Source organism: Homo sapiens, chromosome 3, assembly GCF_000001405.40.
Source record: "Homo sapiens chromosome 3, GRCh38.p14 Primary Assembly".
Taxonomy (NCBI): domain Eukaryota; kingdom Metazoa; phylum Chordata; class Mammalia; order Primates; family Hominidae; genus Homo; species Homo sapiens.
In genome coordinates this window covers 88,015,579-88,028,576 of record NC_000003.12, presented here as the reverse complement: position 1 = coordinate 88,028,576, position 12,998 = coordinate 88,015,579, and the positions used below count along the sequence as shown (strand labels likewise).

At 41.5% G+C, this 12,998-nt stretch overlaps 1 annotated feature.

Moving 5' to 3' along the window:
• Positions 9,413-9,462: a silencer, noted in NCBI's record as "silent region_14546". NCBI's record gives its function as "represses an Ori minimal core promoter by ATAC-STARR-seq in GM12878 lymphoblastoid cells {active_cell/tissue: GM12878}" and the evidence as "EXISTENCE:reporter gene assay evidence [ECO:0000049][PMID:35858748]".

Here is a 12,998-nt window from a genome sequence, read left to right as displayed (position 1 = left end):
TGACAGCCCTCTGTATCCCGAGCTCTTGTTGGGCATCCAGGAAGAATCAGGACACATGAACAAATTGAAGATGGTAAATGTGGGGGATTTTATTGCTGATGAAAGTGGCTCTCAGCAGGATGGAGAACTGGAAAGGGGATGGAGTGGGAAGGTGGTCTTCCCCTGGAATTCAACCATTACCAGCTGAACTCTTCTCTAATGTATAGTCGTTAAGCTGTCCCTCTGAAGACAAGGTGCTTCTTGCTGATGTCATGCTGCTTCTTCTCTGTTTCTCTGCCAATCTGCTGCTTTGCTAGTGGGGCCTGGGGGGTTTTATGAGTACAAGATGGGGGCTGGGGTGAGCCCACGTGGTTTTGGAAAAGGCAACATTTGGGTGGGAAAACAGGAATGCATGTTCTCACTTTGGGCCATGGGTCCAGGCTTGAGGGTGGGGCTTTGCTAGGCACCCCGCCCCTTTCTGCCTAGTGTTTCCCTGCCTCTTGTCTGTTTCAACAAAATGGCCTCTTAACAATAAGGCTTGTGGATGACATTGTGGCTTTTGAGTGCTGTTTTTTAGGATATGATATATATTTTGAACCAATGGCCATTATATATCCTATCACTGTGACAGCTAGAACATACGGTTTCAGGAATCAAAGGATAGAAGAAGGAGTGGGTCTTATTATTACTCACAATGCACCACTTTGGAGGTTTGTGCTTTCATCTGCAAAACTTGTGTTATACTGGACTAAAAGGGATCAGTAACGTTCTACTAAATTTGAAGCTCTGGCAGCCACTGGCTATTTTTGGCTCCTTAGGCCAATAGGCCAGCAAACAAAGACCGGAATTACTATGCAGAAGGTGTAATTGATCCTTAATGTCGTGGAGAGATAAAGTTACTACTACTTAATAGCAGCAAGGAGAATTATGCCTTGAATTTAGGAGACTCACCAGGTTCCTCTAGGTGCTTCTATGTCTAATGATCACAGTGAACAGGCAATTGCAGAAACCATGAACTGATTAGAGAACAACAAAAAGGTGATCAGATCCCTCAGGGATGTGGGTCTGAGTTTCATTAAAGTGAAGCAACTTAGACTAGAAGTGCTGGCCAAGGTTGAGTGAAATGTAAAATGTCTGCTAAAAAGGTAAGATGATGAATAGCAGTCATAGCCTCAGGCCAACTGCAGCAGCAGAGGCTGCAGTTTGTCCCATTGGCCTCCTATTGTTAGTATTTAATTTCATTTTATTTTAAAATTGTGACTAGCCACTACATTGAAGAATAGTGACTAGATGGAGGGAATTTAATTCAAAGCATGAGTGAATCTGTGCAGTACAGTGGGTACAGTAGAGCAGTTACAGCCATATCCCCTATGCAATTATGTTTCCCATACATGCCAATAACTTCTTTACTTGAGGTACCTGCATCCCTTAGTCAGAGGGTTTCCTGGGTGGAGGGTGCTTGGCCTCTGTAATCTCCAGGGAGTTACTGTCCATGAGCACAGCTTTTAAACAATGAGGAGTAGAAATTGGTCTTCTCCTGGAGTTTGGCCGTCCAGAAGCCAATCTCCACCTTTCTTGCCCCTTGAATGGAACAACTCTGAGGCAAATTCTACATCTACTGGAGGGGCCCAGTGAGACCTAATCCAATTTCACCAAGTGGTAACCTGCTTGTTAAGGTATCCTGAATTCAGATTCGTTTTCTGTTATTCTCTATTTCACTTCTGCAGTCCTGTATTGGTGCTTTTTGAGATCACCACACGCATGCAAAAATTTGCACTAAAATCCTTGGCTCAGGGTCTGATTCTGGGAAAATCCAGCCTAACACAATATGGATATGTTCCCTTCCAAGATCAGTATCTTAGCCCACTTTTAACTCCCACCAACCATTCTATCATCCTTCAACTACATTGACATTATTATTAGTTTAATCTCAGAATCCTTATGATACAAACAGGGGTCAGGGAAATACTGGGTGGAAGAGGACAGTTCCCTGACAAAGGCCCCACCCTCAAGCCTGGAAACCCAAGGACCTAAATGGGAACAGGCATTCCTGTTTTTGTGCCCCAAAGCTGTTTTTTGGCCTGCCACCCCCCACTATCCTGTACACATAAACACTATAAACCACAGGCACCATGAGCAGATGAGCAGACAACCAGACAAACAGAAGAGCAGAAGAGTGGCAGAATGGCATGGCAGAGAAGGAGAGAAGAGGAGTGCCTGAATATCAAGAGGAGTTTTGCTGGGGATGGTCAGAGGGGAGATCAGCTGCTGGACGGCCAAACTCCAGGGGAAGATCACCTTCCCACTCCATCCCCTTTCCAGCTCCCTATCCATCCCATTGAGAGCCACCTCCATTACCCAGTAAAATCCCTGCATTCACCATCCTTCACGTCCATGTGTAACCTTTTTCTTCCTGGATGCCAGACAAGAACCTGTGTACCAAGAGGGCACTAAGCTGGTTAACACTTAAGCTGTCTGTGGATGGCAGAGCTAAAAGAGCACAGTAGCACACCCATGGGGGCTTTGAGAGTCACAGGCACACATCCCTAGACATCACTGTCGGGCCAAAGCCCAAAAGCACATACCCTGGCTCCTGCACCTGCCCATCTATGTGCTCTCCCTCCCATGAAAGCTTTGAAAAGTGGCAGCGGCCAAACAGATGAGCCACATCCTTGTCACGTGTCCTGTGAGGAGGGTTAGAGAACTCTCCCATTTCACTTATTGATGCATTGTTTTCATTTCTTTCTGTTTTTATTGTTTTTTTTTTCTATTTTTGATAGTGGTTAAATAAAAAGTGTTATTATTTCCAAAAGTGTTTTCAATAATGGTTTTAGTTTTAGTGTGATAAAATTTCTGAGACTTCGTATGCTTGAGAACATCTTCAACTTACCTTACATTTAAATGATTATCTAGACATAAAATCCTAATTTAAAGTTTCTTCAGCACTTAAAAAACACTGATTTGTTTTCCCCTTGCTTCTGCTGTTGCTATTGAGAAGCCTTATGCCATTTTAATTCTTTCTGCATTGTATATGGTCTTGTTGCATTTTCTTGGAAACTTTTCTTGTATATAATTTACTTTCACAGTAAGTGCAAGATCAAATTGTCCACATGACATATTGCTAAGATAGTATATATTACATTTGGCATTCAAAAGCTATGTTATCATTATGGGGAAAGAAAACTTCAAGGGCCACTATAATTTGAATAGGAAATGTGACAGTCACGGAGGTGTATTAGATCTTTCCTTGAGAGAGCCTGCCACAAAGAGTGTAGTGAGCTGACAGCCTCCAACTCTCTCCAGTCAGCTCCCTGGAGACACTAAGCACATCAGGGGTGCTAGATAACTAAACAAAGCAGCGATATTAGGGCATGGCAATTTCCTCTTAATCTGAAACTCCTCTGTTAGGAATCTGTGCACTAGAGCTCCCCATTGGGCTCACTGAGATTTTCTGCACCAAAAAGATTTTCTACACCACAGTGTGAGGCGCTTCCCCCTCTATCTTTCTTCCTTATGGCTTTTCTTTCTCAGGTGTCGGACTTGCATGGTGGACTGTAGGCTATCTCTGCCTACACTTTCTCCCCCTACTCCTTATCTTGCACAAGTGCATTATACCTCTTGAATTTCTGACTACATCTTAGTGTCTGCTTCCGGGGGACCAGGACTAACAAGAATAAATGAGTGTATGTTGTGTATTTAAGTAGAAAGCCCAGCCCAGAGAACTTGCAATCTGATAATTTTCCACATGATGCCATGGAGTTGTACCACCATCATCCAGCATCCTCTACTTTTCCTATTCTTGGCCCCATCAGGGCTTTCCGTGAAATGGATTTGGGGCTATCAAAAATAGATATGTTTTTATTATAGATTATTTTTACAATACCCTTTGCTGGATTGACATGACACCTTTTATATTTATAGTATGACAAGAATGCAAATGCTTACCATTATCTCTTTAATCCATTCACAATTTACCAAACCGACTAATTTTACCACAGTAGATTACAACTTGGATATAGATTTGATGGTACTGATTACATTGTTCCTGTTTACTTTCTTGGCTTTAAGAAATCTGTGAGTGGTTTCTGACTCAGAGTTAACATTTTCTACCTTTAGTGTGTTATGCTTTACAAAACACTAAAATTTAAGAATTTAGACATCAATAATTCAGAATATTTTTGTAAATTCTACAAGCAAGTTCATAAAGACAGAATAATTCATGTTCAAAACATAAATGTTTTTACTCATTTAAAATATGTTTATAGATATATAATAGTTACACAAATTTATGGGGTATATGTGATATTTTGATACAAGCATGTAATGTGTAATGATCAAGTCAGGGTAACTGGGATACCTCAAACAATTATCATTCTTTTATGTTGAAAACATTAAAGTTCTTCTAGCTATTTCAAAATATACAATACACTATTCTTAACTATAATTTTCCTATTGTACTATTGAATACTAGAACTTATTCCTTTTATCTAATGGTATTTTTTCAAACATTAACCAACTTCTCTTTCTCCTCCCCTACTCCCACTTACCTTTACAGCCTCTGGTAATTACCATTATTATCTTCTACCTCCATGGGATCAACTTTTCTATTTCTCACATATGAGTGAGAACATGTGGGGTAATTGGTATTTCTGTGCCTGGCTTATTTCATGTAACAAAATGACCTCCAGTTCCATCCAGTTGCTGCAAATGACAGGATTTCATTCTTTTTTATGGCTGAATACTAGTTCATTGTGTATATGTACCCCATTTTCTTTATCCTATCATCTGTTGATGGAAATGTAGGTTGATTCCATATCTTGGCTATTGTAAATAGTGCTGCAATAAACACAAGAGTGCAGATGTCTCTTTGATACACTGATTTCCTTGTCGTGGTAGTGGGGGTGGTATATATCCAGCAGTGAGATTGCTGGATTGTATGGTAGGCCTATTGCTAGTTTTGTGAGGATTTCTATACCGTTTTCCATACTAGTTGTACTATTTTACATTCTTACCAATAGTGTATACATTTTCCTTTTTCTTTACATCCTTGCCAGTATTTATTATTTTTTGTCTTTTTGGTAATAGCCATTTTAACTGGGTAAGATGATACCTAATTGTGGTTTTGATTTTCACATCCCTGATAATTATTGATGTTGAGCATCTTTTTGTATACCTGTTGGCCATTTGTATGTCTTCTTTTGAGAGATGTTTATTCAGATCCTTTGCCCATTTTTAAAGTGGATTTTTGTTTTTTGCTATTGAGTTGTTTGAGTTCCTTATATATTCTGGTTACTAGTCTCTTGTCAGATGAATAGTTTGCAAATATTTTCTCTCATTCTGTAGGATGTATGTTCGCTTTTTAAAATTGTTTCTTTTGCTGTGCAGAAGCATTTTAGCTTCATGTAATATCATTTGTCTATTTTTGTTTTTATTGCCTATGCTGTAGAGTTCTTACCTCCAAAATCTTTGCCCAGATCAAAGTTCTGCAGCATTTACTCTATGTTTTCTCCTAGTAGTTTCATAGTTTCAGGTTTTACATTTCAATCTTTAATCCAGTTTGCGTTGATTTTTGTATATAGTGAAAGATGGGGATGTAGTTTCATTCTTCCGCATTAGGATGTCCAGTTTTCCCATGCCATTTATTAAAGAGAGTGTCCTTCTCCCAGTGTGTGTTCTAGTCATCTATGTCAAGAATGAACTGGCTGTAAGTGTGTGGATTTGTTTCTAGGTTCTCTCTTCTGTTCCATTGGTTGATGTCTGTTCTTAGGCCAGTAGTATGCTGTTTTGGTTACTATACCTTTGTAGTGTAATTTGAAATTAGGTAGTGTGATACCTCCAGTTTTATTCTTTTTTTGCTTAGGATTACTTTAGCCATTTGTGTTTCTTTTTGGTTTCATGTAAATTTTAGAATTGTTTTGTTCTGTTTCTGTGTAAAATGTCATTTATATTTTGATAGAAATTTTATTGAATCTGTAGATTGCTTTAGGTAGTGATATGGTTTGGTTGTGTCCCTACTCAAATCTCATTCTTGAACTGCAGTTCCCATCATACCCACATGTTGTGGGAGGGACTCAGTGGGAGCTCACTGAATCATGGGGACAGCTACCCCCATGCCGTTCTTGTGACAGTAAATGAATTCTCATGATATATCATGGTTTTATAAGGGGTTTTTCCCCCTTTGCTCAGCATTCATTCTCTCTCCTGCTGCCCTGTGAAGAGGTGCCTTCCGCCATGATTGTGAGTTTACTGAGGCTTCCACAGCCATGGGGAACTGTGAGTCAATTAAACTCTTTCTTTTATAAATTACCCAGTCTCAGGTATTTCTTCATAGCAGTGTGAGAACTAATACAGGTAGTATAGACATTTTAGCAATATTAATTATTCTAATCCATGAGAATGAGATACTGTGTTAGTCTTTTCTTGCATTGCTATTGTGAAAGGAAAATCTTGGGGGCCCCAAAATTACTAAGCTAAGGGAAAAGTCAAGCTGGAAACTGCTCAGGACAAACCTGCCTCCCATTCTATTCAAAGTCATCCCTCTGCTCACTGAGATAGAGGCATATTCTGATTGCCTCCTTTGGAAAGGTTTATCAGAAACTGAAAGAATGCAACCATTTGTCTCTCACCTACCTGTGACCTGGAAGCCCCCTCCCTGCTTTGAGTTGGTCCCACCTCTCTGGACGAAACCAATGCACTTCTTACCTATATTGATTGATGTCTCATGTCTCCCTAAAATGTATAAAACCAGGCTGTGCCCTGACCACCTTGGGCACATGTTGTCAGAACCTCCTGAGGCTGTGTCATGGGTTCCTGTCCTTAGCTTTGGCAAACAAACCTTAGCTTTGGCAAACAAACCTCCTAAAATGATTGAGACTTGCCTCATCATTTTTCTTGATTGACACTATAAAGAAATGCCTGAGATTGGGTAAGAAAAGAAGTTTAATTGGCTCATGCTTCTGCAGACTGTACAAGCTTGGCACTGGCATCTGTTCAGCTTCTGGGGAGGCCTCAGGGAGCTTTTACTCATGGCAGAAGGTGAAATGGGAGCAAGCATGACACATAGTGAAAGCAGGTGCAAGGCGGGGGAAATGGCACTTTGAAAAATATCAGATCTTGCAAGAACTCACTATTGAGAGGACAGCACCAATAGGAAGGCACTAAATCACTCCTGAGAAATCTGCCTCCATGATACAATCACCTCCCACCAGGCACCACCTCCAACACCAGGGATTACAACTCATCATGAGATTTACAGGAGACACATGTCCAAACTATTGCAGATATCTGTTCTATTTTTTTGGTCTCTTCACTCTCTTTCATAAGTCTTTTGTTGATTTCTTTGTAGAGATATTTCATGTCTTGGTTAAATTTATTCCTAGGCATTTTATTATTATTTTTTTTTTTTGGTAGCTGTTGTAAATGGAATTTCTTGATTTCCCTTTCAGATGATGTTTGTATGTTGGTTTTATATCCTGCAATTTAAATAAATTGGCTGATCAGCTCTAAGAGTAGTTCGGTGGAGTCTTTTGGTTTCCCTAAATATAAGCTCTTGTCATCTGCGAACAAGGATAATTTGACTTCTTTCTTTTCAATGTGGATGCACTTAATTTTTTTCTATTGTATAATTGCTCTGGTTAGAACATTTAGTGTTATGCTGAATAAAAGTGGTGAAAGTGGGCATCCTTGTCTTGTTCCAGGTCTTAGTGGATAAGATTTCAATTTTTCCCCCTTCAGAATGGTATTAGCTGTGGGCTTGTCATATATGGCCTTTATTGTGTTAAGATATGTTCCTTCTATACCCAAATTGTTGAGGGTTTTTATCATATAGAGAACTGGTTTTTAAAACCCTTTGTATTTGGAAACATTCTTTATACAATTTCAATGTTTGTTTATTAATTCTAATTTATAAACTGTTTATTTTTAAAATTTACTTTTAAGCCAGGTGCGGTGGCTTACACCTGTAATCCCAGCACTTTGGGAGGCCGAGGCGGGTGGATCACCTGAGGTCTGGAGTTCAAGACCAGCCTGACCAACATGGAGAAACCCCGTCTCTACAAAAAATAGAAAATTAGCTGGGTGTGGTGGCACATGCCTGTAATCCCAGCTACTTGGGAGGCTGAGGTAGGAGAATAGCTTGAACCTGGGAGGCAGAGGTTGTGGTGATCTGAGATCACTCCATTGTACTCTAGCCTGGGCAACAAGAGTGAAACTCCATCTAAAAAAAAAATAAATAAATAAATAAATAAAAATTTCTTTTAATTGATTAATGGTAATTACGTATATTTATAGGATACAATGTGATCTTTTGATCTATGTATACATTATAGAAACTTTAACATATCCACCACCTGACCAACTTAGCATTTTTTTTGTGGTGAGAAAGTTAAATATCTATTCTTTCAGCAATTTTGAAGTATACAATACATTATTATTAACTGTGCTCACCATATAGTGCAACAGATTTCTAAAACTTATTTCTTCAGTCTAACGGAAACTTTGTAGCTTTTGTTTACCATCTTCCTTTTCCTGATCTCTCCTCTTTCTCCTAGTCTCTGTTTCCATGCGATCATCTTTCTTAGATTCATCATGTAATTAAGATTATATAGTATTTGTCTTTTTGTGCCTAGCTTTTTTCACTTTGCATAGTGTCCTCCAGTTTCATTCAATATGTGTATTTTTATATTAAAGCATACTGATTCAGTAAAGCATAAAGGACCTCCCTGGCTACACTTTTTAAATTTAGCTGTGGTAATATTTTTTTCTTTTTTTGAGATGGAGTCTCGCTCTACCACCCAGGCTGGAGTGCAGTGGTGTGATCTTGGCTCACTGCAACCTCTGCCTCCCAGGTTCAAGCAATTCTCGTGTCTTAGCCTCCGAAGTAGCTGGGATTACAGGAGTGTGCCATCATGCCCAGCTAATTTTTGTATTTTTAGTAGAGATGGGGTTTCACCATGTTGGCCAGGCTGGTTTCAAACTCCTGACCTCAAGTGATCTGCCCACCTCAGCCTCCCAAAGTGCTGGGATTACAGGCATGAGCCACCATGCCCGGCCTTAGCTGTGGTAATTTGGATTTGATAAAATATCAAATAATTCATAGCTACTCACCTATCCAAATCAATTCAAATCATTTATGTTTATAATAGATTATATTTATTTAGTTTGAAGGCTTTCTCCAATTACAAGTGATCAGCCTGCCAATTTGAAAATTAAGATATTTTATGAAAAACATGTGGTTTGTAGTGATGTGATTATGATTATTTACATATCAATTTTTATTTATATATTTATATGCATGCTGCCTTTTTCACTCTGTGGTTAGCGTTAAATGTCTGGCACCAGTGTACTTATGTAAAATAGACTACTGTGGAAATGCTTTTCAGAGTTCAGCAGATTTTACGTGTCCACAAAAACCACAGAGCTACTAGGTGTCACATAACAGCTATACTGAAGCAAACTTTTGTTCAAAGCCACACTTACTTTTGCTGCAGTGAAGTGCATTCTTACTATATGTACTCCAAAAATTTTCAAGGCTTTTCCTGCAAGAAAAATATTCTATATTATACCATCTTCTTGTTATGTGTGTGTGTGTGTGTCTCAGTCATCTTAAATTCATTTGAAATTCTTTGAGTGCAAGGTCTGATATTTTTGTTTTCAATTTGCATTTTAATACTCCATAATACTTAAAAGTTAAATAATATATGGCTTACAAGCATACCTGTTAAAAGTTAAAAATAGGAGAAAAAAATGAGTACTTTTCAAACAATTTAAAAAGTATTAGTTATTATTAATGATTAAATCTCTTGGTGCTATATAATAACTTCAGCCTAAATTTAACTCTTTCTTCATATTCCATTTTTTTTTTTGAGACAGAGTATCACCCTGTCGCCCAGCCTGGAGTGGAGTGCAGTGGTGCCATCTCGGCTCACTGCAACATCTGCCTCCCAGGTTCAAGCGATTCTCATGCCTCAGCCTCCTGAGTAGCTAGGACTAAAGGTGTGCGCCACCTCACCTGACTAATTTTTGTATTTTTAATAGAGACAAGGTTTCACTATGTTGGCCAGGCTGGTCTCAAACTCCTGACCGCAGGTGATCCACCTACTTTGGCCTCCCAAAATGCTGCGTTTACAGGTGTGAGCCACCACACCTGGTATTCTTCGTAATCCTTTCTCTTTCTCTTTCTTTGCTTCCCTCCTTCCTTCCTTTTCTTTCTTTCTTTCCTTCCTTCCTTCCTTAACTTTTGGTATTGGCTGCACTTTCAAACAATAAATACAGATGTTAATGAAAAGGTCCTTTCAATCTAAGAATTATGAATATGCTGGGTGAGTCTAGATCTTCTAGTCTTTCCACAGTGATCATTTGTAGTCATGGTGGAATTTTCCTGACCTTGGTAAGCTTACTCAAATATGAGGATGAAATCTCTAACTTTGGCTAGTTACCACTCTGCTTTTTCTATCCATATGCTATGTCATTAACTCTCTTCAGTCTCTTTTTCCCCCAAATGCATGGTGAAAATTCAAAGGTGATATCAACCATACAGGCACATTCTGGGGAAAGTGGTAGCAAGGATGTCAGTCCATGACCTCAGTCTTTTTCAGGCTCATTACAAAGACATTGGGAGGAGGTGTTAAGGTGTTAGTGGGCCTTTTTATAAAGACTTGTGTGGAAATACTAGTAGCTTGGGTTTCAGTTTGCAGTAGTTCCCGTAATATTGTTTCAATATAATACTCTATTAAATAAAAACATTTCTCAGATATCTATAAATCTGTTCATCCTTCTATAATCATTTATCAAGCTTTACAATATTTGTCCCAGAACTTTGCTAGGCTACAAGCTAAGGAAACAGGAAAAAATATGTATGGCTTTCGATGTCAAGGAGCTAAGAGGTTTGGAGAAGATGAAAATGAAAACAAGAACCATAGAGAAAATAGGTGTTCAAAATAATACAGGATAATACAGCAAGAGAAGAAGTTGAATGCTCATCTGGAGTGGAGAAAAACTAAGAGAAGTTTTAGGAAAGAGGTATTACCTGAGCTGAGTTTAAAAGAATGAATAAGGCCGGGCACGGTGGCTCACGCTGGTAATCCCAGCACTTTGGGAGGCCGAGGTGGGCGGATCACGAGGTCAGGAGATCCAGACCATCCTGGCTAACACGGTAAAACCTCGTCTCTACTAAAAATACAAAAAATTAGCAGGGCGCAGTAGCGGGCGCCGTAGCCGGCACCTGTAGTCCCACATACTTGGGAGGCTGAGGCAGGAGAATGGCGTGAACCCGGCAGGCGGAGCTTGCAGTGAGCCGGGAGGGCGCCACTGCACTCCAACCTGGGCGAAAGAGCCAGACTCCATCTCAAAAAAAAAAAAAAAAAAAAGAATAAAATTGATCACGGGCTTTAATTTACAAGCAAGTTAAATGTAAGAGCTTGGGGCAGAGTATAAAATACAGTTGGAGACGAGGGTGGGGACCAGTCTTCTCCATCCTGCTAAGGAGCATGGACTTGATCCCACATAGGTAGTGGCAAACCACTGAAGGATGTAAACAAGAGAAAAACCTGGACCACCCTTGAGATGTAAAAAGATGACTTCAAAAATTTTTATAGAGGACAGATTGCACTTGGATGGAGTTGGATGTAGAGATACCAAAGGAGAGACAATGAAATCTTAAACTTGAGACACAGTAATGAGAAAAGAAGAAGGGGATGAAGAGGAGACCTATTGTGTCCGAAATTGATGGGTTCTTGGTCTCACTGACTTCAAGAATGAAGCCACGGACCCTCGAGGTGAGTGTTACAGTTCTTAAAGACAGCGTGACTGGAGTTTGTCCTTTCTGATGTTCAGATGTGTTCGGAGTTTCTTCCTTCTGGTGGGGTTCCTGGTCTCACTGGCTCAGGAGTGAAGCTGTGGACCTTTGCCGTGGGTGTCACAGCTCTTAAGGCAGAGCGTCTGGAGTTGTTCTTTTCTCCCGGTGGGTTCGTGGTCTCGCTGGCTTCAGGAGTGAAGCTGCAGACCTTCGCGGTAAGTGTTACAGCTCATAAAGGCAGTGTGGACCCAAAGAGTGAGCAGCAGCAAGATTTATTACAAAGAGCGAAAGAACAAAGCTTCCGCAATATGGAAGGGGACCGCAGCGGGTTGCCACTACGGGCTTGGGCAGCCTGCTTTTATTCTCTTATCTGGCCCCACCCACATCCTGCTGATTGGTAGAGCCCAGTGGTCTGTTTTGACAGGGTGCTGATTGGTGCGTTTACAATCCCTGAGCTATGCACAAAGGTTCTCCACCTCCCCACCAGATTAGCTAGATACAGAGTGTCTATTGCTGCATTCACAAACCCTGAGCTAGACACAGGGTGCTGATTGGTGTGTTTACAAACCTTGAGCTAGATACAGAGTGCCGATTGGTGCGTTTACAATCCCTGAGCTAGACATAAAGGTTCTCCACATCCCCACCAGACTCAGGAGCCCAGCTGGCTTCACCCAGTGGATCCCCCACCGGGGCTGCAGGTGGAGCTGCCTGCCAGTCCCGTGCCAGGCGCCCGAACTCCTCAGCCCTTGGGTGGTTGATAGGACTGGACGCCCGGGAGCAGGGGGCGGCGCTCGTAGGGGAGGCTCGGCCGCACAGGAGCCCACGGAGGGGGTGGGAGGCTCAGGCATGGCGGGCTGCAGGTCCCGAGCCCTGTCCCGCGGGAAGGCAGCTAAGGCCCGGCGAGAAATTGAGCGCAGCGCTGGTGGGCTGGCACTGCTGGGGGACCCAGTACACCCTCCGCAGCCGCTGGCCCAGGTGCTAAGCCCCTCATTGCCCGGGGCCAGCAGGGCTGGCCGGCTGCTCCGAGTGCCGGCCCGCCAAGCCCACGCCGACCCGGAACTCCAGCTGGCCCGCAGGCGCCGTGCCCAGCCCGGGTTCCCACTCGCGCCTCTCCGTGCACACCTCCCCGCAAGCTGAGGGAGCCGGCTCCGGCCTTGGCCAGCCCAGAAAGGGGCTCCCACAGTGCAGCGGTGGGCTGAAGGGCTCCTCAAGTGCCGCCAAAGTG